This window comes from Homo sapiens, chromosome 17 (genome assembly GCF_000001405.40).
Source record: "Homo sapiens chromosome 17, GRCh38.p14 Primary Assembly".
NCBI classification, from domain to species: Eukaryota; Metazoa; Chordata; class Mammalia; order Primates; family Hominidae; genus Homo; species Homo sapiens.
The window spans coordinates 59,195,955-59,221,214 of NC_000017.11; the positions used below are offsets into that span (position 1 = coordinate 59,195,955).

A 25,260-nucleotide genomic window follows, 5' to 3' on the forward strand; every position below is an offset into this window, starting at 1 on the left:
GTGTGTGCCTGTAGTCCCAGCTACTTGGGAGGCTGAAGAAAGAGGATCACTTGAGCCCAGGAGATCAAGGCTGCAGTAAGAAGTGATTGTGCCACTGTACTCCAGCCTGGACAACAGAGAGAGACTCCATCTCAAAAAAAAAAAAAAAAAAAAAATCATAACCTAAATGTCTTAAAACAGGATTTTATCTATGAAATTTACATACAATTAACTGCATATTTTGAAGATGTCAAAATGACACTTTAAGTTAATTTTCAAAAAGATAGGAAGAGTTCATGATATACTGAATGGGAAAAACTATATCTACAATATGATTATACACAGACAGATACACACATATACCATATTTGCTTGATTCCAAGACACACTAGTTTTCATATTATATAATTTCTGAAAGCAACCTGTTTTATTTATTTATTTTTTGTATTTTTTTATTTTTTGAGATGGAGTCTTGCTCTGTCGCCCAGACTGGAGTGCAGTGATGCAATATCGGCTCACAGCAACCTCCACCTCCCGGGTTCCAGCAATTCTCCTGCTTCAGCCTCCTGAGTAGCAGGGATTACAGGCGTGTGCCACAGTGCTGGCTAATTTTTGTATGTTTTAATAGAGACGGGGTTTCACTATGTTGGCCAGGGTGGTCTCAAACTCCTGACCTCAAATGACCCACCCCCCTCGGCCTCCTAAAGTGCTGGGATTTCAGGGGTGAGCCACTGCGCCTGACTTAGGTTATGACATTTAATTTCTGTAAGTCTTCAGTGGACATCCTTGCCTATCAACTCTGTACATGGCTGAGTTTTTCCCTAGGATGGATTCTTACACATGTAACTCCTGGGTCAAGAAGTATTACATATTGGAATGGCTATATCATCTTATGTTCCCATCGGCATCTACTGCTATTTTTTTTCTTTTTTTCTTTTTTTGAGAAGGAGCTCTGTCACCCAGGCTGGAGTAGTGGCACAAGCTCGGCTCACTACAACCTCCGCCTCCCAGGTTCAAGCAATTCTCTGCCTCAGCCTCCCGAGTAGCTGGGATTACAGGCACCCGCCACCACGCCCAGCTAATTTTCGTATTTTTAGTAGAGATGGGGTTTCACCATCTTGGCCAGGCTGGTCATGAACTCCTGACCTCGTGATCCATCTGCCTCGGCCTCCTAAAGTGCTGGGATCACAGGCGTGAGCCACCGCACCCTGCTTCTACTGCTATTTTTTAATGTAACACATAGAACTACTTTCTAGGATGTTGCCTATAGAAATGATTGCTTTCCTTTGGGAAAAAAATAATAAAATCTGGCAAGTTCTAATTTTTTTTTTTTTTGGAGACAGAGTCTTGCTCTATTGCCCAGGCTGGAGTGCAGTGGTGCAATCTTTGCTCACTGCAAGCTCTGCCTTCCGGGTTCACGCCATTCTTCTGCCTCAGCCTCCCGAGTAGCTGGGACTACAGGCGCCCACCACCACACCTGGCTAATTTTTTGTATTTTTAATAGAGACAAGGTTTCACCGTGTTAGCAAGGATGGTCTTGATCTCCTGACCTTGTGATCCACCTGCCTCAGCCTCCCAAAGTTCTAATTTTTATATCTTTGTTTTATCAGCACTCCTGGAAAAAGTCAGATGGATCTGCGGAAACTGCTTAGAAAAGTCGATGTAGAGAGGTAATACACTCTCATATCTTTATGCCTTCTACGTCCATTTTAAAAGTTGCCATAAAATACAGCTACTGTTATTTTCAATACCTTTGCAGGAGCCCAGGTGGAACCCCTCTTACCAATAAGGAAAATATGGAAACAGGAACAGGACTGACTCCAGTGATGACGCAGGCCTTAAGGAGAAAGTTTCAGGTAACCCTTTAGGAAAAGAATATTGGTTCCTTTGCTTGAAAATAATTTGGCCTGGTGTGGTGGCTCATGACTGTAATCCTAACACTTTGGGAGGCTGAGGTGGGGAGATTGCTTGAGCCTAGCAGTTCAAGATGGGCAACATGGTGAAACTCTGTCTCTACAAAAAATACAAAAAATTAGCCAGGCGTGGTGGTGCATGCCTGTAGTTCCAGCTACTTGGGAAGCTGTGTTGGAGGATCACTTGAGCCCAGGAGGTCAAGGCTGCAGTGAGCTGTGATTGCACCACTGCACTCCAGTCTGGGTGACAAAGCAAGACCCTGTCTCAAATAAATAATCATAATCATAATTTATGATCATAATTTAAAGCAGCTTTCTTAGTAACAATAATTTTTAAATGGTACCGTATTTTGCAAAGTATTTTCATATTTAGGCTTCATAAAATTCTATAAAATACAGGTAGGATTGGCCGGGCACAGTGAGTGGCTCATGCCTGTAATCTCAGCACTTTGGGAGGCCGAGGTGGGCAGATCACATGAGGCCAGGAGTTTGAGACCAGCGTGGCCAACATGACAAAACCCTGTCTCCACTAAAAAAATACAAAAATGGCCGGGCACGGTGGCTCACGCCTGTAATCCCAGCACTTTGGAAGGCCGAGGCAGGTGAATCATGAGCTCAGGAGTTTGAGACCAGCCTGACCAACATGGTGAAACCCCGTCTCTACCCCAAATACAAAAATTAGCAAGGTGTGGTGGCGGATGCCTGTAGTCCCAGCTACTCGGGAGGCTGAGGCAGGAGAATCACTTGAACCTGGGAGGCAGAGGTTGCAGTGAGCCAAGATTGTGCCACTGAACTCCAGCCTGGGTGACAGAGCGAGACTTAGTCTCAAAAAAAAAAAAAATTAGCCATGTATGGTGACTCGTGCCTGTAATCCCGGCTACTTGGGTGGCTAAGGCATGAGAATCGCTTGAACCCAGGAGACGGAGGTTGCAGTGAGCCAAGACTGCACCACTGCACTCCAGCCTGGGTGACGGAGTGAGACCCTGTCTCAAAAAAAGAAAAAAAAGAACTATAGGTAGGATTATCATGTCTATCTGTAAATGTCTGATTTTATTAATCCCTTTAGTACATATTTTTAGTAAATATTTACTAAGCACTTCCTATATGCCCAGCAGTGTGTTGAAGTACTGGGAATATAGTGGTAAGCAAAAACAGATACAGATTACTGTCTTGAAGCTTTCAGTCTAGTGGGGAAAATAGGCATTCATCAAATAATCCCATATTTGTATAATATCACATGGCAGTATGTGCTATGAAGGAAAGGAATGAGGTTCTGTGGGAACCCAGAGAGGAACTTGATCTAGCCTGGATGATCTAGGAGGGACTCCCTTAGGAAGTGATGATGCTTGAGGTGAGAGTCGAAGAAGGAAGAGGCATTTACTGGATAGGGTAACTGTGGGGTGGGTCCACCATGAGTGTCAGGAAGGAGAGAGTTCCAGGCAAAAAGAACAAAATTCGTAAGAGTTCCATGGGGTGAGGGATCATGGCCTATTCAAGGAACTAAGAAGTGACCAGTGTGGCTGTAACACAGAGAGGGAGCCCAATGGTGGTGAAAGACAGGGATGGAGATGTAGTTAGGAGTCAGACCCTGCAGAGTTGAAAGGAAAAGGTCTTGAGAGCTTTCTTTGTCACATTCATATACAACCACATACCCAACCCAGTAGATCAGCTGGCCCTGGTGTGACTTCTTCCAAACCCTGTTGATCTTAGTCATCTCCCTAATTGCCTCTATCATTAGATCTGTGAAGAACAGCCATCCGTCGGCTGCCCCTGCTGGAGTGCTGGAACACAGGGCTGCTGGCATCTTTGGCTTTGAAGTTTATAGTTCGTTCTCTCTCTGGATGCAGGGACATAGCAGACTCCACTGCTGACACTTTCCACCCCAATATTGTCTTCCTTTTGTTCCGTGTTTGAGAATCAGTGCTTTTTGTGGGACAATATAATTTCTCTCTTACCAATCAACTTGGTCCTACTGGGCACTATACAGCTTTCTGCGTAGTGGAGATGTGACCAGGTTCTTCTTTCCTCCTCTTAGAGCATGCTACCCCTAATCAAGTTCCTTGGTGATACCCAAAATTGTGAAGGGCAGGAGCAAAGGGACGAGGCCTCACGGGTCTTAGCCCCTTGCTTTTTCTGTTTAGCTCTAAGATCTTTGTTGTCACTGCCCCTACTTCATAGCAGGTACAGTGAGTTGAGAACTCTGGAAATGGATAAACGATAATAAATTGTAAAGCCACATATTGAACAACAACAAAAATCACAGATAAGACCTATGGCATATGTTGTGCTGCCAAAATCTACTCAGGAGGAGGATGTCTAGTTAAAATTGTTGTTAGATATAGATGACTTATCCCACCCAACCCTTAGGCTTCTTTTTTTCTTAAACTGTGAAGCAACTGTATCAGGTTTTGCATTGGCTTCAGGTATCAGAAATCTGACTATAGTGGTTTAATCAAATAGGGACATGGCAGAGTGTAGTGGCTCATACCTGTAATCCCAGTGCTTTGGGAGGCTAAGGCCGGAAAGTCGCTTGAGGCCAGGAGTTTGAAACCATCCTGGGCGATATAGCAAGACTCTGCCTTGACAAATAAATAAATAAATTAGGACTTTTTTTTTTAATATATACAACTAACTCATTTATTTTATTTTATTTTAATTTTTTTTGAGACGGAGTCTCGCTCTGTCGCCCAGGCTGGAGTACAATGGCGCAATCTTGGCTCGCTGCAAGCTCTGCCTCCTGGGTTCACACCATTCTCCTGCCTCAGCCTCCCGAATAGCTGGGACTACAGGCGCCCGCCACCACGCCCGGCTAATTTTTTGTATTTTTAGTAGAGACAGGGTTTCACCGTGTTAGCCAGGATGGTCTCGATCTCCTGACCTTGTGATCCACCTGCCTCGGCCTCCCAAAGTGCTGGGATTACAGGCGTGAGCCACCGGGCCCAGCCTGTTTTTTTAAAATTTATAGACGAAGTCTCACTATATCTCCCAGGCTGGTCTCAAACTCCTGGGCTCAAGTGATCCTCTTGTCTCGGCCTCCCAAAGTGCTGGGATTACAGGCGTGAGCCACCGTCCTCGGCCCACAACTATCTTTTTTTTTTTTAAATTTATTTTTTATTTCAATACGTTTTTGGGGAACAGAAAGTGTTTGGTTACACAAATTAGTTCTTTAGTGGTGATTTCTGAGATTTTGGCACACCCATCACCCAGCCAGTGTACACTGTTCCCAATGTATAGTCTTTTATCCCTCACCCCACCCCACCCTTTCCCCCAAGTCCCCAAAGTCCACTGTATCATTCTTATGCCTTTGCATCCTCATAGCTTAGCTCCCGGACTTATTTTTTTAATTTAAATATTTCTTTGGGCAGTAGGAAGTCCACAACTATAATACAGTGGCTTCACCATATAATCACTGTTCTTCCATCCTTAATGTGTGGCTTTTATCCTCTTAATACAAAATGCCTACATTTCCTGAAGCCTCATGTCCACATTCTAGGCAAGAGAAGGAGAAAGGCAAATGTTAATTAAGCTATGCCTCATTTCTTCAAAGAAGCCCTATCCAGGAACTTCTGATTGCATCAGGGAAACTGGGAAAAGTGGTTTTTACAATCTGAATGCAGTGTTGCCATGCAAAAATTCTGGGTTCTGTTGAGAAAGGAGAGTTGTACTTATCACAGGAATATAATTGATATTATAATTGGGACTTTTTTTTTTTATAGCTGGCTCACCCTAGAAGCCCAACTCCAACTCTGCCACTTTCTACAAGCAGCTTTGATGAACAAAACTGATGCCAACTCTGCCTCACTCCATGAGATGATCCATAACAAATACAGATAAAAACACCCAGCTGGGTGCAGTGGCTCACACCTGTAATCCCAGCACTTTGGGAGGCTGAGGCAGGTGGATCACCTGAGGTCAGGAGTTTGAGACCAGCCTGGCCAACATGGTGAAACTCCTTCCCCACTAAAAATACAGAAATTAGCTGGGCATAGTGGCGGGTGCCTGTAATCCCAGCTATGCGGGAGGCTAAGGCAGGAGAATTGCTTGAACCCAAGAGGCAGAGGTTGCAGTGAGCCAAGATCGCGTCATTGCACTCCAGCCTGAGCAACAAGAGCAAAACAAAAACAAACAAACAAACAAAAAAAACCCACCCAAATCCTTTTTTTTAATGTAGTAGGGTTTATATAGATATACTAATATAATTGCATTTGGAGAATTAGAGTATGTATGGAGCCCACACATACTGTGATATAAAGTGTATATACAGATATTTGGATATTTTCTAGTTTGCATGATGATTAAGAGAACCAGATGGGAAAATACAATCTCCAAAGTGATGTTTATCCTGGAATTACCCAATTTAGATTAGAGAGGTTGTTCAAATTTAACTAGATAACTCTAGTTTGTACTGTATAGGTGCAGTTATGACAGTAAAAAAATAGCCTCTTGGCTCATACCTGTAATCCCACCACTTTGGGAGGCCAAGGTGGGAGGATTGCTTGAGCCCAGGAATTCAAGACTAGCCTGGGCAACATAATACAGGGAGACCCCGTTTCTATTAAAAATACAAAAATCAGCCAGCTGTGGTGACACATGCCTATAGTCCCAGCTACTTAGGAAGCTGAGAAGGGAGGATCACTTGAGGCTGTAGTGCACTATAATTATGCCTGTGAATAGCCACTCTACTCCAGCCTGGGCAACATAGCAAGACCCCATCTCTAAAAATTAAAAAAAAAATTTAAATTAGAATATCATTTCTAGCATCTTAGGTAGGTACTTATATCTGGCTTACAGAAGTCTAAGGTATTCCTTATTTTTATATCTGCTGTCCACATTTATACAGCTACATAAAAATTTTATGACAACTTCAACATGAACCTTATATTTTCGACAATGCCTTGCCAAGGAATCTCTGAAGTCCATAGCAGGTCACTGTGAGACCTAGTTCCCTGTTGTCACTGACCTATGTAATCAAAGACAGTAATACAGCCTGGGAAACATAGCGAGACCCTGTCTCTATCAAAAATTTAAAATTACCCAGGCATGGTGACGCACACCTGTAGTCTAAGTGTCCAAGTTACTTGTGAAGCTGAGGTGGGAGGATCACTTGAGCCCAAGAGTTTGAAGCTATGGTGAGCTATGATTGTTCCACTATACTCCAGCATTGGCAACAGAGCAAGAACTCATCTCTAAAAAGTAAAAAGCAACTCCCCAGAAAGACTGTATTTCTACAGATAAATATTGCATTGAGATGCCAAATAGAGTGTTGTTGTAAAGTCATCAGACTAGAAAGCAGACCTGGGGACAGTGTTTACCACCTAAGAGGCAGTCCTGTTTTTGAGACCCACATCTATATATAGAGATTTTTGTTTGTTTGTTTGTTTGTTTTGTTTTGTTTTGAGATGAAGTCTCACTCTGTCACCCAGGCTGGAGTGCAGTGGCGCAATCTTGGCTCACTGCAACCTCCACCTCCCAGGTTCAAGCAATTCTCCTGCCTCAGCCTCCTGAGTAGCTGGGATTACAGGTGCGCACTGCCACGCCTGACTAATTTTTGTATTTCTAGTAAAGATGGGGTTTCACTATGTTGGCCAGGCTGGTCTTGAACTCCTCACCTCAGGTGATCCACCCATCTCAGCCTCCCAAAGTGCTGAGATTACAGGCGTGAGCCACCACGCCCGGCCAGAGATCCACATCTATATTTATAACACATTTATGGATGAAAATTAAACAGGTGTCCGGGTGCGGTTACTCATGCCTGTAATCCGAGCACTTGTGGAGGCCGAGGCAGGCGGATTACTTGAGGTCAGGACTTCGAAACCAGCCTGGCCAACATGGTGAAATCCCATCTCTACTAAAAATACAAAATTAGCCAGGTGTGGTGTCACGCACCTGTAGTCCCAGTTACTTGAACCTGGGAGGCAGAGGTTGCAGTGAGCCGAGATTGCAACACTGCCACTCCAGCCTGGGTGACAGAGCAAGAGACCCTGTCTCAAAAAAAAAAAAAAAAAATTAAATGGGTAGTGACGTTAAGAGATATATATCAGCTTCTAGTAAAAGTTTTTTTTTTTAAACCTGCTAGCTACATTTACATTATGTAAAAATAAAGGGAATAATCACTGAGAATAAAGCAGTTGAGTATTTATAACAATAATATTTTATGGGGCGCTTATAATGTTTATAATATTGTAAACCACTGTGTACTCTATTCATTTAATGCTAAATGACTTGACCATTCTTGTGGGATAAGAGATCATTAAAAAAATGCTAGGGCCGGGCACCATGGCTCACGCCTGTAATCCCAGGACTTTAGGAGGCCAAGGCAGGTGGATGACTTGAGCTCAGGAGTTTGAGACCAGCCTGGGCAACATGATGAAAACTCCGTCTCTACCAAAAATCAAAAAAATTAGCCAGGTGTGATGTTGTGTGCCTGTAGTCCCAGCTACTTGTGAGGCTGAGGTGGGAGGATGGTTTGGGCCCCGGAGGTAGAGGTTGCAGTGAGCTGAGATTGTGCCACTGTATTCCATCCTGGGCAACAGAGCCAGACCCTGCCTCAAAAAAAAAAAAAAAAAAAAAAAAGGCCTGGCACAGTGGCTCACGCCTGTAATCCCAGCACTTTGGGAGGCTGAGGCGGGCAAAACACTTGAGGTCAGACGTTTGAGACCAGCCTGGCCAACATGGTGAAACCCCGTCTCTACCAAAAATAAAAATAAAAATTATCCAGGCGTGGTGGCATGTGCCTATAGCCCCAGCTACTCAGGAAGCTAAAGCACGAGAATTATGTGCATCCTGGAGGTGAAGGTTGCAGTGAGCCAAGATCACACCACTCCACTCCAGTCTGGACAACAGAGTGAGACCCTGTGTCAAAAAAAAAAAAAAGAAAGAAAGAAAGAAAAAATGCTTTATGGCCCAGTGCAGTGGCTCACACCTATAATCCTAGCACTTTGGGAGGCTAAGGCAGGAGGATTGCTTGAGGCCAAGAGTTCAAAACAAGCCTGGGCAACATTGCAAGACCCCAACTCTACAAAAAACGAAAAATTAGCCGGGAGCGGTGATGTGTGCCTGTAGTCCCAGCTACTCAGGAGACTGAGGTGGGAGAATCACTTGAGCCTGGGAGGTTGAGGCTGCAGTGAGCTGTGTTTATACCACTGCACTCCAGCCTGCTGGGTAACAGAGCAAGACTCCATCTCAAAAAGAAAAGAAAAAATGCTTTGCTACATAATGAGGCCAGGCAAAAAAAAAAAAGTCCTGTGGAAATCATATAGACAAACATTTGCAAAGCTGCTACTGCCATTGTACCAGTGTTAAACTGTGTTCTACCTTGCATCTTTTACTGATTTTTATGACAGATTTTATATTGTAACCATTCGAGAACTCTGTAAGTGCTATGGCTTCCTTAAACTACGATTTATCATATGCTCCCGGTGTTTACTTTGAGACTGAATGGCAACCAGAGAATGTAAACAACCAAGGTGCATCTGGTTATGTTTTAAAATAAAGATTAATAAAAGTTTTGGTTTTTCTCTTTCTAACCTTCTTTTTAAACTAGAAATATAATACCTATAGAAAAGTAAATGTTGGCCGGGTGCGGTGGCTCATGCCTATAATCCCAGCACTTTGGGAGGCCGAGGCAGGCAGATCACCTGAGGTCAAGAGTTCGAGACCAGTCTGGCCAACATGGTGAAACCCTGTCTCTACTAAAAATACAAAAATTAGCCGGGCATAGTGGCAGACACCTGTAATCCCAGCTACTGGGAAGGCTGAGCCAGAATGGCTTGAACCTGGGAGGCAGAGGTTGCAGTGAGCCGAGATCGCCCCATTGCACTCCAGCTTGAGCAACAAGAGCGAAACTGTCTCAAAAAAAAAAAAAAAGTATATGTTAAGTATAGAAAAATATATAAATTAAAAAATTATAGGCTTGGGGGCCAGGCACAGTGGCTCACACCTGTAATCCCAGCACTTTGGGAGGCCGAGGTGGGTGTATCACTTGAGGTCAGGAGTTTGAGACCAGCCTGGCCAACATGGTGAAACCCCGTCTCTACCAAAAAAAATATATAAAAATTATCTGGGTGTGGTGGCATGTGCCTATAGTCTCAGCTTCTCAGAAGACTGAGGCGTGAGAATCACTTGAACGATGGAAGTGGAGGTTGCAGTGAGCTGAGATCACACTACTGCACTACAGTCTGGGCAACAGAGTGAGACCTTGTCTCAAAAAAAAAAGAAAGAAAAAGAAAAATGCTTTATGGCCCAGTGCAGTGGCTCACACCTATAATCCTAGCACTTTGGGAGGCTAAGGCAGGAGGTTCGCTTGAGGCCAAGAGTTCAAAACAAGCCTGGGCAACACTGCAAGACCCCAACTCTACAAAAAACGAAAAATTAGCCGGGAGCGGTGATGTGTGCCTGTAGTCCCAGCTACTCAGGAGACTGAGGTGGAAGAATCACTTGAGCCCGGGAGGTTGAGGCTGCAGTGAGCTGTGTTTATACCACTGCACTCCAGCCTGCTGGGTAACAGAGCAAGACTCCATCTCAAAAAGAAAAGAAAAAATGCTTTGCTACATAATGAGGCCAGGCAAAAAAAAAAAGTCCTGTGGAAATCATATAGACAAACATTTGCAAAGCTGCTACTGCCATTGTACCAGTGTTAAAATGTGTTCTACCTTGCATCTTTTACTGATTTTTATGACAGATTTTATATTGTAACCATTTGAGAACTCTGTAAGTGCTATGGCTTCCTTAAACTACGATTTATCATATGCTCCCAGTGTTTACTTTGAGACTGAATGGCAACCAGAGAATGTAAACAACCAAGGTGCATCTGGTTATGTTTTAAAATAAAGATTAATAAAAGTTTTGGTTTTTCTCTTTCTAACCTTCTTTTTAAACTAGAAATATAATACCTATAGAAAAGTAAATGTTGGCCGGGTGCGGTGGCTCATGCCTATAATCCCAGCACTTTGGGAGGCCGAGGCAGGCAGATCACCTGAGGTCAAGAGTTCGAGACCAGTCTGGCCAACATGGTGAAACCCTGTCTCTACTAAAAATACAAAAATTAGCCGGGCATAGTGGCAGACACCTGTAATCCCAGCTACTGGGAAGGCTGAGCCAGAATGGCTTGAACCTGGGAGGCAAAGGTTGCAGTGAGCCGAGATCGCCCCATTGTACTCCAGCTTGAGCAACAAGAGCGAAACTGTCTCAAAAAAAAAAAAAGTATATGTTAAGTATAGAAAAATATATAAATTAAAAAATTATAGGCTTGGGGGCCAGGCACAGTGGCTCACACCTGTAATCCCAGCACTTTGGGAGGCTGAGGTGGGAGGATCACTTGAGGCCAAGAGTTTGAAACCAGTATGGGCAACATTGCAAGACCCTGTCTCTACAAAAAACAAAAAATTAGCCGGGCATGGTGGCATGTGCCTGTAGTCCCAGCTACTCGGGAGACTGAGGTGGGAGAATCACTTGAGTCCAGGAGGTTGAGGCTCCAGCGAGCAGTGTTCATACCACCTGCACTCCAGCCTGCTGGGTGACAGAGCAAGATGCTGTCTCAAAAAAAAAAAAAAAAAAAAAAGAAAGAAAAAAGAAAAATGCTTTGCTATATAACGAAGCCAGGCAGGAAAAAAAAGTCCATATAGATAAACATTTGCAAAGCTGCTACTGCCATTGTACAGTGTTAAAATGTGTTCTACCTTGCATCTTTAAATAAAGATTAATAAAAGTTTTGGTTTTTCCCTTTTTAACCTTTTTTTTTAACTAGAAATAATAATACCTATAGAAAAGTATATATTGGCCGGGCGCAGTGGCTCACGCCTGTAATCCCAGCACTTTGGGAGCCCAAGGCAGGTGGATCATGAGGTCAGAAGATCAAGACCATCCTGGCTAACACGGTGAAACCTGGTCTCTACTAAAAATACAAAAAATTAGCCGGGCGTGGTGGCAGGCGCCTGTAGTCCCAGCTACTTGGGAGGCTGAGGCAGGAGAATGGCATGAACCCGGGAGGCAGAGCTTGCAGGGAGCTGAGATCACGCCACTGCACTCCAGCCTGGGCAACAGAGTGAGACTCTGTCTCAAAAAAACAAAAAAGTATATAGTAAGTATAGAAAATATATGAATTAAAAAATCAATGCCGAGCGTGATGGCTCAAACCTATAATCCCAGCACTTTGGGAGGCCGGGGTGGGCAGATCACCTGGGGTTGGAAGTTCGAGACCAGCCTGGCTAACGTGGGGAAACCCCATCTCTACTAAAAATACAAGTTTAGGTGGGCGTGGTGGTACGTGCTTGTAATCCCAGCTACTTGGGAGGCTGAGGCAGAAGAATTGCTTGAGGAGACGGAGACAGGGAATAGGAGATGGAGGTTGCCGTGATCCCAGATAGCACCACTGCACTTCAGCCTGGGTGACAGAGTGAGACTCTGTCTCACAAAAAAAAAAAAAAAAAATTTTAGGCCGGAGGCGAGGTGTGGTGGCTGACACCTGTAATCCCAGCACTTTGGGAGGCCGAGGTGGGTGGATGATGTGAGGTCGGGAGTTCGAGACCAGCCTGGCCAACATGGTGAAACACCATCTCTACTAAAAATACAAAAATTAGCCGCCCATGGTGGTGCACCTGTAATCCCAGCTCCTTGGGAGGCTGAGGCAGTAGAATCACTTGAACCTGGGAGGTGGAGTTTGCAGTGAGCTTAGATTGCACCACTGTACTCCACTCTGGGCAACAGAGCAAGACTCTGTCTCAAAATATATATAATATATATTATTATGTATATATATAATATATATTATTATGTATATGTGTAATATATATTATTATGTATATATATAATATATATATTATATCATAATCCCTTCCCTCACTAAGTAATCACTGACCTACTTGGTACAATAAATATTTCCTTGCTTTTAGTAAGAACACACCCCTAAATGCAATGGTTTATTTTGCTTGCTTTTGAACTCTATAGAAATAAAATCAGGCCTGGCGCAGTGGCTCTCGCCTGTAATCCCACCACTTTGGGAGGCCGAGGCGGGCAGATCATGAGATCAGGAGATTGAGACTATCCTGGCCAACATGGTGAAATCCTGTCTCTATTAAAAATACAAAAGTTAGCTGGGTGTGGTCTCACGCACCTGTAATCCCAGCTACTTGGGAGGCTGAGGCAAGAGAATCACTTGCACCGGGGAGCCGGAGGTTGCAGTGAGTCGAGATCGCGCCACTGAACTCTAGCCTGGCCACAGAGCAAGACTGCATCTCCAAAAAAAAAAAAAAAAAAAAAAAAAAATAGAATTATAGGGTATATACACTTTTGTTTCTGATTTCTTTCAATCAACATTTATTTTAAAGATTCAGTCATGTTATTGTATAGTGCTATAGATAATTTTTTTAGATTCAAAGATTTTTATTTTTTACAAAACCCCAGAATAATAAACGTTATAATTATACATTTAAATCTGGTTGTAAGTTTTATCCTGGCAGCTATTTGTCAATATGCCTTCTAGTTAGAGAGGTTCTGCAAGTTATAATTTACATACAAAGATATTTCGCAATTTTTTTTTTTTTTGAGACGGAGTCTCACTCTGTCGCCCAGGCTGGAGTGCAGCGGGGTGATCTCGGCTCACTGCAACCTCCACCTCCTGGTTCGAGCAATTCTCCTGCCTCAGCCTCCTGAGCAGCTGGAACTACAGGTATGCGCCACCACGCCTAATTTTTGCTTTTTTTTTTTTTTTTTTTTTTTTTTTTAGACGGTTTTCGCTCTTGTTGCCCAGGCTGGAGTGCAATGGTGTGATCTCGGTTCACTGCAACTTCCGCCTCCCGGGTTCAAGCGATTGTCCTGCCTCAGCCTCCCGAGTAGCTGGGATTACAGGCGCCCGCCACCACGCCCGGCTAATTTTCGTATTTTTAGTAGAGATGGGGTTTCACCATGTTGGCCAGCCTGGTCTCGAACTCCTGACTTCAGGTGATCCGCCCGCCTTGGCCTCCCAAAGTGCTAGGATTACAGGCGTGAGCCACCGCAGTAGTCCCAGTTTTGTTTTGTTTTTTTGTTTTTTGTTTTTGATATCTCAATTCCTACAGTTGAGGAAACAAACTAGGAGAGGAGAAGAGGAGGCGGAACTCAAGTGACGGGAAAGCAGGAACTGAAGAAGCGGAGGAAGGATTTCAAAATTGGACGAAAGCCGGTCGGTTTTACTAACGGACCGGAAGGACTCTAGAGAACGCTCTGCACTATGGCTGGTCCCGTGAGCTTGCGAGACCTTCTAATGGGAGCATCAGCCTGGATGGGCTCTGAAAGTCCCGGAGGGTCCCCTACTGAGGGCGGAGGGAGCGCGGCTGGCGGACCGGAGCCTCCATGGCGGGAGGATGAGATCTGCGTTGTGGGAATCTTCGGCAAGACGGCTCTACGCCTGAATTCCGAGAAGTTCTCTCTTGTGAATACGGTGTGCGACCGACAGGTCTTTCCTCTCTTTCGCCACCAAGATCCTGGGGATCCAGGACCTGGAATCAGAACTGAGGCTGGCGCCGTGGGTGAGGCCGGTGGAGCCGAGGACCCTGGGGCTGCAGCCGGGGGTTCAGTTCGGGGAAGTGGAGCTGTCGCGGAAGGTAACCGAACTGAGGCAGGCTCCCAGGACTACAGCCTTCTGCAGGCCTACTACAGTCAGGAAAGCAAAGTTCTGTATCTTCTCCTCACCTCCATCTGTGACAATTCACAGCTTCTCCGGGCTTGTCGGGCTCTTCAGAGCGGGGAAGCTGGAGGTGGACTCTCTTTACCTCATGCAGAAGCACACGAGTTCTGGAAGCATCAAGAGAAGCTGCAGTGCCTCAGTCTCCTTTACCTATTCTCTGTCTGTCATATCTTGCTTCTGGTCCATCCCACTTGTTCCTTTGATATCACTTATGATCGAGTATTCAGAGCCCTGGATGGGCTGAGACAGAAGGTCCTGCCGCTCCTTAAAACAGCCATTAAGGATTGTCCAGTTGGCAAAGACTGGAAGCTAAACTGCCGACCTTGCCCACCTAGACTCCTTTTCCTCTTTCAACTCAATGGAGCCCTCAAGGTAGAACCTCCTCGGAACCAAGACCCAGCTCATCCAGACAAGCCCAAGAAACATTCTCCCAAAAGGAGGCTGCAGCATGCCCTGGAGGACCAGATCTATAGAATCTTCCGGAAGAGTCGTGTCTTGACTAATCAGAGCATCAACTGCCTCTTTACTGTGCCTGCCAACCAAGCTTTCGTGTACATAGTACCGGGAAGCCAGGAGGAGGACCCAGTAGGTATGTTGCTGGACCAACTTAGGAGTCATTGTACTGTGAAGGACCCGGAATCTTTGCTGGTGCCTGCACCCCTTTCTGGGCCTAGGCGATACCAGGTGATGAGGCAGCACAGCCGACAACAACTTTCCTTTCACATTGACAGCAGCAGTTCCAGTTCTTCAGGCCAGCTAGTGGATTTCACTCTTCGGGAATTCCTATGGCAGCATGTGGAGCTAGTTCTAAGCAAGAAAGGTTTCGATGACAGTGTGGGCAGGAACCCACAGCCTTCCCATTTTGAACTTCCTACTTATCAGAAGTGGATCTCAGCAGCTTCAAAACTGTATGAGGTGGCTATTGATGGGAAAGAAGAGGACTTGGGGTCACCCACTGGAGAGCTAACATCTAAGATTTTAAGCAGTATTAAAGTCTTGGAAGGATTTTTGGATATTGACACAAAATTCTCAGAAAACCGATGCCAAAAAGCTTTACCCATGGCCCACAGTGCCTACCAGTCAAATTTGCCTCATAATTACACAATGACTGTCCATAAGAATCAGCTTGCCCAGGCTCTTCGAGTGTACAGTCAACATGCTAGAGGTCCAGCATTTCACAAATACGCCATGCAGTTACATGAGGACTGCTACAAATTTTGGAGCAATGGCCATCAGCTCTGTGAGGAGAGGAGTTTAACTGATCAACACTGTGTGCACAAATTTCACTCATTACCTAAATCAGGTAGCTAAAATTTGTTCAGCATTTTGAAATAAAAACTTTGAGCTGTGTTTTCATTCTTGTTTTAAGATAGTCTGTTCACTATGTATTGATATTTTAGAAAGAGCCCTACAGAAATTTAGGTGCATCAGCTATACGTTTTCTCTCCTGCTGTAAAAGGAAAATATCAGCTATGACTACTTTCTTATTTTTTTTCATTTAAAGGATACGTCCTAGTGAATTGGTAAGTGAGAATTATTAAGTAGTATAAAATTTCAGACATCTCATATTAACACTTTGCCTTGGAGGATTTGTAGAACTAAAATGAATGTTATGTTAGATGATGGTACATGATAATGGTAGCAGGAGGAAAAATTCACTTAAAAACTCTAAACTTTACATTTATAATATAAAGTATTTTATATACTTTCACTTGCTTCTTCTGTTATGTGTATTTAGGTAAGGTTTTTGTTTGTGGGGTTAGATGTTGTAGAATGCAAAGTAAATTCGCACATTGTGTTTATGAAATTAATAGTGGCTGTTATATTTTCCAGGAGAAAAACCAGAGGCTGATAGAAATCCGCCTGTGCTATATCACAATAGCCGAGCTCGATCTACTGGTGCTTGCAACTGTGGAAGGAAACAAGCACCTCGAGATGATCCCTTTGATATCAAAGCAGCCAATTATGACTTCTATCAGGTAGACTCTGAATTTTTTCTTCTTCCTCTTCTGTCTTTTTTTGTTAAATATCATCTGAGTAAAAACATATTTTCAATAGCAGAGTAAGTAGAAAAGCAAATGCAACTGCAGTATAATATATAAACAGGAGCAAATTCTTTATGTGTACATATTTACTTACACATCAATTATTGATCTTGTTAGAATGAAGAATATTATTTAAAATGAAAAACTTACTGGATTTTTTTTCTTACCCTCTATAGCTTCTGGAAGAAAAGTGTTGTGGAAAATTGGATCATATCAATTTCCCAGTATTTGAACCAAGTACTCCAGATCCTGCTCCTGCTAAAAATGAATCCTCTCCTGCTCCTCCAGATTCGGATGCTGATAAACTTAAAGAAAAAGAACCTCAAACCCAAGGAGAGAGCACGAGCCTGAGTTTAGCTTTGAGTTTGGGCCAATCCACAGATAGCTTAGGTACCTATCCAGCTGATCCACAAGCAGGAGGAGATAATCCAGAAGTTCATGGTCAAGTAGAAGTGAAAACTGAGAAGAGGCCAAACTTCGTTGATCGACAGGCATCCACAGTTGAGTATCTCCCAGGCATGCTACATTCAAATTGCCCTAAAGGTCTCCTACCCAAATTCTCCAGCTGGTCTTTGGTTAAACTAGGCCCTGCTAAGTCTTATAACTTTCATACAGGTTTGGACCAACAGGGCTTTATTCCAGGAACAAATTATCTTATGCCTTGGGACATTGTCATCAGGACTAGAGCTGAAGATGAAGGAGACTTAGACACAAACTCTTGGCCTGCTCCAAATAAAGCTATTCCTGGAAAGAGAAGTGCGGTTGTAATGGGAAGAGGAAGACGGCGAGATGACATAGCTCGAGCTTTTGTGGGCTTTGAATATGAAGACTCTCGAGGTCGGAGATTCATGTGCTCTGGGCCTGACAAAGTAATGAAAGTAATGGGAAGTGGGCCAAAGGAATCAGCTTTAAAAGCCCTAAATAGTGACATGCCCTTATATATTCTGTCATCCTCTCAAGGTAGAGGGCTGAAACCTCATTATGCTCAACTTATGAGGCTTTTTGTTGTGGTTCCTGATGCTCCTTTGCAGATAATACTAATGCCTCAGGTAAGAAATATAACCCTCTGCAGCCCCAAACAAGTAAAAAATGCTGATGTTTGTTTTGATTGATTTTAAAAAGTACAAGTTAGCCTCAAAACTAATTATTTCAGGCTGAGGGCAGTGGCTCATGCTTGTAATCCCAGAACTTTGGGAGGCCAAGGTGGGAGGATTGCTTGAGCCCAGGAGTTTAAGACCAGCCTGAGCAACATAGTGAGACTTGTATCTCTACAAAAAATTAAATTAAAAAACGAATTATTTAATTAAACAGGTCTTAAATTTAAATACCTTCCATACCTAATATTCTGTTTTTTAAAAAATACATTGTGGGTATTTTAATCCGTTCATGCTATCAATTCACATCATTTCATTCAAAGGCAGAACTTGAAGTTAAAATTCTGGAGAAAAGGCCGGGTACAGTGAGTCACGCCTGTATTTCCAGCACTTTGGGAGGCCAAGGCAGGCGGATCACCTGAAGTCAGGAGTTCGAGACAAGCCTGGGCAACATGGCGAAACCCCGTCTCTACTAAAAATACAAAAAATTAGCCAGGCGTGGTGGAAGGCGCCTGTAATCCCAGCTACTTGGGAGGCTGAGGCAGGAGAATCACTTGAATCAACCTGTAAGCGGAGGTTGCAGTGAGCCGAGATCGCGCCATTGCACTCCAGCCTGGGTGACTAAGAAAGACTCCATTCCCCCTGCAAAAAAAAAAGTTCTGGGGAAAAGCAGAATAATATTTGAGACTAAATAATATACTATTGGATACAATTAGAGTTAGGAGTGTACCCATATCTGCTTAATCTTATATATTCTTTTATTTATTTATTTGTTTGTTTTTTTGAGACAGTCTCGCTCTGTTGCACAGGCTGGAGGGCAGTGGTGCAATCTCAGCTCACTGCACCTCCGCCTCCTGGGTTCAAGCTGTTCTCCTGCCCCAGCCTCCCCAGTAACAGATTACAGGCACACGCCACCACACCTGACTAATTTTTTGTATTTTTAGTAGACATGGGGTTTCTCCATGTTGGCCAGGCTGGTCTCGAACTCCTGACCTCGTGATTCACCTGCCTCAGCCTCCCAAAGTGCTGGAATTACAGGCGTGAGCCACCAGGTCTGGCCTTGTATGTTCTTTGAACCTATCGTCTGTTTAGGCATTTATCTTTCAGTTGTTTCATATTGAGAAATGTGAAAATAATTATACTACCTGTGTTTTTCAGGTTCAGCCAGGCCCACCACCATGTCCGGTATTCTACCCAGAAAAACAAGAAATCACCCTTCCACCTGATGGCCTTTGGGTTTTGAGATTTCCTTATGCATATGTGACTGAGAGAGGACCTTGTTTCCCCCCTAAGGAAAATGTGCAGTTAATGAGCTACAAGGTGCTCCGTGGGGTTCTTAAGGCAGTAACACAATAAGTGTTTTCCAGCCAGTTCAATCCTATACTTGAGCTGGTTTTTGTTTTTGGTATTTGTGGCTGTGTTTTTGGTATGTGTTTACTGTGTTTTCCCAAATCCAAAATGTGTTTTGGTTACAGGAGTTCAGTATTTGGAAACTAATTTGTTCTACTTTTTCATTATATTGTTGATATTTATTGTAAACGTGACTACAACTTTCTAATAAAGATTGGTTGTTCTAGAAAAGAATATAAAATACATGGATGATACCTGTTTTTTCTCGTTTCTGTTTTACTCTCCATAATTAAACATGTTTCTATTATAACTGAATGTTGCATAACCATGTTGAGCCAAAATTTTGTTTTTGTTAAAATAATGTTTTAGCTGGTTTTTTTTTTTTTTTTTTTTTTTTTTTTTTTTTTTTTGAGACAGAGTTTCACTCTTGTTGCCCAGGCTGCAGTGGAATGGTGCAATCACGGCTCACCGTGGACTTCGCCTCCCAGGTTCAAGCCATTCTCCTGCCTCAGCCTCCCAAATAGCTGGGATTATAGGCATGCGCCTCCACGCCTGGCTAATTTTGTACTTTTAGTAGAGACGGTTTCTCCACCTTGGCCAGGCTGGTCTCGAACTCCTGACCTCAGGAGGTGATCCGCCCACCTTGTCCTCCCAAAGTGCTGGGATTACAGGCATGAACTACCAAGCCCAGCCTAGCTGGGATTTTTTTTAAGATACTAGTCTTGAAATTATCTTCTAAACAAGTTGATACATTAGGTTATCTGGTAATAATATGAAGATACTTGATTTAATTCCAAAAAAAGCACAATTGGTTGACTCACAATTCTGGTACTTTAGTTAAACGGTTTTGTTCTTATCTTGGCCTGATGAGATACCATAATTTAAACGAATATTATCTAAACTAAACTTTTTAATCCAGTATATTAATGCGAACTATTCTTTTTTTTTTTTTTTTGAGACGGAGTCTCACTCTGTCACCCAGGCTGGAGTGCAGTGGCGGGATCTTGGCTCATTGCAGCCTCCGCCTCCTGGGTTCAAGTGATTCTCCTGCCTCAGCCTCCTGAGTAGCCGGGATTATGGGCACGTGCCATGACGCCTAGCTAATTTTTGTATTTTTAGTAGAGGTGGGATTTTGCCAAGTTGCCCAGGCTGGTCTTGAACTCCTGACCTCAGGTGATCCACCTGCCTTGGCCTCCCAAAGTCTTGGGATTACAGGCGTGAGCCACCTTGCCTGGTCAATGCAGACTATTCTTTAAAAATTCCTGTACTGTGAAACAATTTGCTAAGTGATCCAAATCTTATCAATCAGGCTGGGCACAATGGCTCATGCCTTTAATTGCAGCACTTTAGGAGGTTTAGGTGGCAGGAGGATCCCTTAAGACCAGCCTGGAAGACATAGTGAGACCTTGTCTCTACAAAGAAAAAAAAAAAAGATAAAGATGTGGTGGTGCATGCCTGTAGTCCCAGCTACTCAGGAGGCTGAGGTGGGAGGATGGCTTGACCCCAGTGGGTCTAGGCTGCAGTGAGCTGTGATCATACCACCCCAACAGAGCAAGACCCTGTCTAAAAAAAAAAAGATCTTGGGCCAGGTGCAGTGGCCCATGCCTGTAATCCCAGCACTTTGGGAGGCCGAGGCAGGTGGATCATGAGGTCAAGGGATCGAGACCATCCTGGCCAACATGGTGAAACCGCATCTCTACTAAAAATACAAAACCTAGCTGGGTGTAGTGGCACACCCCTGTAGTCCCAGCTACTCGGGAGGCTGAGGCAGGAGAATCACTTGAATCCGGGAGGCGGAAGTTGCAGTGAGCCAAGATTGCGCCACTGCATTCCAGCCTGGTGACAGAGTGAGGCTTCGTCTCAAAAAAAAAAAAAAAAAAAAAAAAAAATTCTTACCAATCTATGGTAACTTTCACCAGCATCCACATGACAATATGCCACTATATCACCATCTAATTTTTATCACCATCTAGTTGTTATCACCAATCAGATGGCAATATAGTGGTATATTGTGATATATCACCAATTAGGTAAGTACAAATTAAGTTAACATACCTAAACTCTTGTGTAATTGATTACATTTCCATAGACACACTAATTTTGAAACGTTGGACAAATAGAATTGTAGATTTTAGTCTCAATATATAGGAAATATGTATTTAACACATCTTGCTACATTTAAAGCCATTGTTTTTTAATTTAAAAATATACATAGGCTGGGTGCGGTGGCTTACACCTGTAATCCTAGCACTTTGGGAGGCCGAGGCAGGAGATCGAGACCAGCCTGACCAACATAGTGAAACCCCGTCTCTACTAAAAATACAAAAATTAGCCAGGCCTGGTGGCGTGCTCCTGTGATCCCAGCTACTTGGGAGGCTGAGGCAGGAGAATCACTTGGACCCAGGAGGCAGAGGTTGCAGTGAGCCAAGATTGCGCCACTGCACTCCAGCCTGGGTAACAGAGTGAGACTCCATCTCAAAAAAAAAAAAAAAAAGTAAATGCTCCTCTTTCTTCTCTCGCCTTCATTAAAAGAAAATTATATAAAATAATAAAAGAATTCAGAACTCTGACTTTGAATTCATACTTTTCCTGTTGTTCTGTCTTCTTAGAAAATATAAGAATGAACCTGTAATCCCAGGACTTTGGGAGGCCAAGGTGGGCAGATCACTTGAGGTCAGGAGTTCAAGACCAGTCTGGCCAACATGGTGAAACCCCATCTCTACTAAAAGTACAAAATTAGCCGGGCCCAGTGACTCATGCCTGTAATCCCAGCACTTTGGGAGGCCGAGGCAGGTGGATCATCTGAGGTCGGGAGTTCGAGACCAGCCTGACCAACATGGCGAAACCCTGTCTCTACTATTAGCCGGGCCAGGTGATGCATGCCTGTAATCCCAGCTACTCGGGAGGCTGAGGCAGAAGAATCGCTGGAACCCGGGAGGCAGAGGTTGTGGTGAGCTGAAATCGTGCCATTGCACTCCAGCCTAGACAACAAGAGCGAAACTCCTTTTCAAAAAGAAAAGAAAAGAAAAGAAAAATATACACACACACAATATTAGCCAGGCGCGGTGGTGCGCATCTGTAGCCCCAGCTACTCAGGAGGCTGAGGCAGGAGAATCACTTGAACCCCCGGGGAGGCAGAGGATGCAGTGAGCCGAGATGGCACTGCTGAACTCCAGCCTGGACCACAGAGTGAGACTCTGTCTAAAAAAAAAAAAAAAGCGGTTAGAATTTGAGGTTTATATATAATCTAAAATTTACGGGTGGGAAGGGGTAGGGGGTACTTCCAGAAGAACAAATGACTTCTTAGAAGCTGGGGAGAAAGCACTTTTTGGAAAAAGAAATGATTTTTTGGAAACATAAATGTGTCCTTAGGAGAATACCCATGAGATGTCATACTTTTGTGACAATGTCTCTCATCTCTGACAGGATTAGAATTGTTCCCAGGGAGGAGATTTATGACAGTTAAGTTCTTCTGGGAGCCTTTGATTTTAGGTTGATAAGGGATTCCAGGAACTTAAATGCCTTCAGCTCAATATATATATATTTTTTAAGAGACAGAGTCTTGCTCTGTCGCCCAGGCTGGGGTGCCGTGGCATGATCTTGGCTCACTGCAAGCTCCGCCTCCCAGGTTCAAGCCATTCTCCTGCCTCAGCCTCCCTAGTAGCTGGGACTACAGGCATGCACCACTATGCCTGGCTTATTTTTGTATTTTTAGTAGATACGGGGTTTCACCATGATGGCCAGGCTAGTCTCGAACTCCCGACCTCAGGTGATCTGCCTGTCTCAGCCTCCCAAAGTGCTGGGATTACAGGCGTGAGCCACCATGCCCAGCCTCAAAATAATTTTTATGCCACAGTGGTTTATTCTAGACGCTTCCATAGTCATCAGGTGATATTTTGAAAAATAGAACTATGTGCGTCAGTTGATCTACAGGAAATAGTTTAACAGCCCTAAACAGAACACATGATTTTTTAACCTGTAAGTTTCCTCAGAATGTTGCTCTGTTGCCCAGGCTGGAGTGCAGTGGCACCATCAAGGCTCACTTCAACCTCGACTAAAGGAATTTTTTTTTTTTTTTTTTTTTTTTTTTTTTTTTTTTTTTTTGAGACGGAGTCTCGCTCTGTCACCCAGGCTGGAGTGCAGTGGCGCCTTCTCGGCTCATTGCAACCTCTGCCTCCCGGGTCCAAGAGATTCTCCTGCCTCGGCCTCCTGAGTAGCTGGGATCACAGGCACACGCCACCACCCCTGGCAAATTTTTGTATTTTTAGTAGAGATGGAATTTCGCCATGTTGGCCAGGCTCCTGACTTCAAATGATCTGCCCGCCTCAGCCTCCCAAAGTGCTGGGATTACAGGCTTGAGCCACCGTGCCCAGCCACCCCCTATTTTCTTCTAATTTTCTTTTTATAGTTGAGATAGGGTCTTGCTCTGTCGCCCAGGCTGGGGTGCAGTGGTGCAGTCATAGCTCACTGCAGCCTCGATTTTCCAGGCTCAAGCAATACTCCCACTTCAGCCTCCCAAGTAGCGTGACTACAGGTGCACGCCACCACGCCGGGCTTATTTTGTTTTATTTTTTGTAGAGATGGGGTTTCGCCATGTTGCCCAGGCTGGTCTCGAACTCCCGGGCTCAAGCGATCCACCCTTCCTTCCCGGCCTCCCTAAGTGCTGGGATTACAGGCGTGGGCCACCGCGCCCGGCTGAATCAGGATTTTAAATATTCACTCTGCTTTTCTAGTCCTGTGGGAGATATGGTCTTCTCCGTAAAATTTCTCCCTCAGTCCTGGGTGATTTATTTCTTTTGCATTGAAGTGTGTGGCTTTTCGTGTGTTAGCAGTTTGTAATTTGTCGGGTAAAAGGAAAACTAGTAGGGCCTTCTGGAACTTAGTTATCTGTCTTTCTAGGACTTTTAGGTAATACCTTATAACCTTAACAAAGTTTCCTTATTTTATACGGACTTGTAAGTCAACAAATACTTCTACAGTGCCTATTGTGTACAAAGAATGAGGATTGCACTTTCACAATGAAATGAGGGAGGACAGGGGCCGATCTCTCAGATATTTGACTGATAAACCAGTACCTTTTCTAGTATATGCGACCATAGGGGAAATTCTCTCTAGGCTAGATAAACGGAGGAGTTTATTTAGTGTTTTAGCAAGCTTTATCGCCTCCATAGGTACAAATTATTTGCATTTTCTAGAGCAAGGGATAAGACGCGCCCTGGAATCTTTCCTTTTTGATGTGGATTTTCCAATTAGGAAAGGCTGCCCGTGAATAGTCTTTTCTGCTTGAGTGATGGCCAACACACTGGCAGGTTTGCAAGCTTTCTCTTCATGAGGGTCCGTCCACAGAGCTAGGTGACAAACGCTCAGTCCAGGATCTCTGCAGGTTCCTACACGGGAGCCGGAGAGCGCCTGCGCGTCGGAGCCTCTTTGTTGCTGGGGCGCTGGGGTCCAGCTGCGCGTGCGCAGTAGGCCGGCACCGACAAGTGCGCTGCACCAGTGGCACCGGCTGGGGGCGAGCCGACCTCGAGCAGCCGCCGCCGCCGCCGTCGTTGCTACTGCCGCAGCGGAGTTCAGAGGGCCCGGAGGTGGGAGACTTCCCACACGGTGACTGAGATGTCGTCCACTGCGGCTTTTTACCTTCTCTCTACGCTAGGAGGATACTTGGTGACCTCATTCTTGTTGCTTAAATACCCGACCTTGCTGCACCAGAGAAAGAAGCAGCGATTCCTCAGTAAACACATCTCTCACCGCGGAGGTGAGAGGGGTCCCCAGAACCCGATGACGGAGGTGGGGGAGGCTGAGGGTCCTTTGCGGCTCCGCAAAAGGCAGCCGGGTGCCAATCCCTGAGAGTTTGAGGAAGAATGGGGTTGTGTGAATTGAGGGCTCTTCCGGAGGTGAAGGCTGTGTGAAGGGAAGGTCTCCTGAGGGGAGGGAAGGAGAGGGATTCCCGGTCAGAGCCACGGCGGGGGTCTCTCGAGGGCAGCAGTGTGAGGGGTTCTCTGAAACGGGAAAGACACGGTCGAGAATGAAGGGTAGGTGGAGCGTTTCTCGGCGGATGGAAGGATGATCGCAAGGTCCCTTCCTAGCAGCAAGACACAAAGGGGGAGCGCCGTGCAGAACCGAGGGTACCCCGCGGGGGGCACCGGGAGCACACTGCTCCGAGCGAGCTAGTGGCTGAGTGGATGGGAAGAGCCGAGGCGACGAGGAGGGCTGGGGAT

At 44.6% G+C, this 25,260-nt stretch overlaps 3 protein-coding genes across 7 annotated transcripts in view, besides 2 other annotated features; all 3 read left to right on the plus strand.

Annotated features, from left to right (window-relative positions):
- Nucleotides 1-10,755, plus strand: part of PRR11 (proline rich 11) — a 50,964-nt gene extending 40,209 nt beyond the window's left edge. For all 3 annotated transcript variants that reach the window (XM_024450828.2, NM_018304.4, XM_047436387.1), the window contains 3 exons: nt 1,590-1,649; nt 1,739-1,835; nt 5,609-10,755. In XM_024450828.2, coding sequence (XP_024306596.1) covers nt 1,590-1,649; nt 1,739-1,835; nt 5,609-5,677 — 226 coding nt within the window. In that variant the 3' untranslated portion in view covers nt 5,678-10,755. The remainder of the gene's footprint in view (nt 1-1,589; nt 1,650-1,738; nt 1,836-5,608) is intronic.
- Nucleotides 13,890-13,959: an enhancer, noted in NCBI's record as "active region_12504". NCBI's record gives its function as "activates an Ori minimal core promoter by ATAC-STARR-seq in GM12878 lymphoblastoid cells {active_cell/tissue: GM12878}" and the evidence as "EXISTENCE:reporter gene assay evidence [ECO:0000049][PMID:35858748]".
- Nucleotides 14,081-19,276, plus strand: SMG8 (SMG8 nonsense mediated mRNA decay factor). Its single transcript, NM_018149.7, has 4 exons — nt 14,081-15,856; nt 16,387-16,532; nt 16,775-17,647; nt 18,851-19,276. The coding sequence occupies exons 1-4, from the start codon at nt 14,098-14,100 to the stop codon at nt 19,046-19,048; spliced, it is 2,976 nt and encodes a 991-aa protein (NP_060619.4). The 5' UTR covers nt 14,081-14,097; the 3' UTR covers nt 19,049-19,276.
- Nucleotides 24,557-25,260, plus strand: part of GDPD1 (glycerophosphodiester phosphodiesterase domain containing 1) — a 55,460-nt gene continuing 54,756 nt past the window's right edge. For all 3 annotated transcript variants that reach the window (NM_182569.4, NM_001165993.2, NM_001165994.2), the window contains exon 1: nt 24,557-24,797. In NM_182569.4, coding sequence (NP_872375.2) covers nt 24,656-24,797 — 142 coding nt within the window. In that variant the 5' untranslated portion in view covers nt 24,557-24,655. The remainder of the gene's footprint in view (nt 24,798-25,260) is intronic.
- Nucleotides 24,583-25,133: an enhancer, noted in NCBI's record as "H3K27ac-H3K4me1 hESC enhancer chr17:57297898-57298448 (GRCh37/hg19 assembly coordinates)". NCBI's record gives its function as "activates a minimal SCP1, AML or CMV promoter by ChIP-STARR-seq in naive H9 embryonic stem cells {active_cell/tissue: H9 hESC(naive)}" and the evidence as "EXISTENCE:reporter gene assay evidence [ECO:0000049][PMID:30033119]".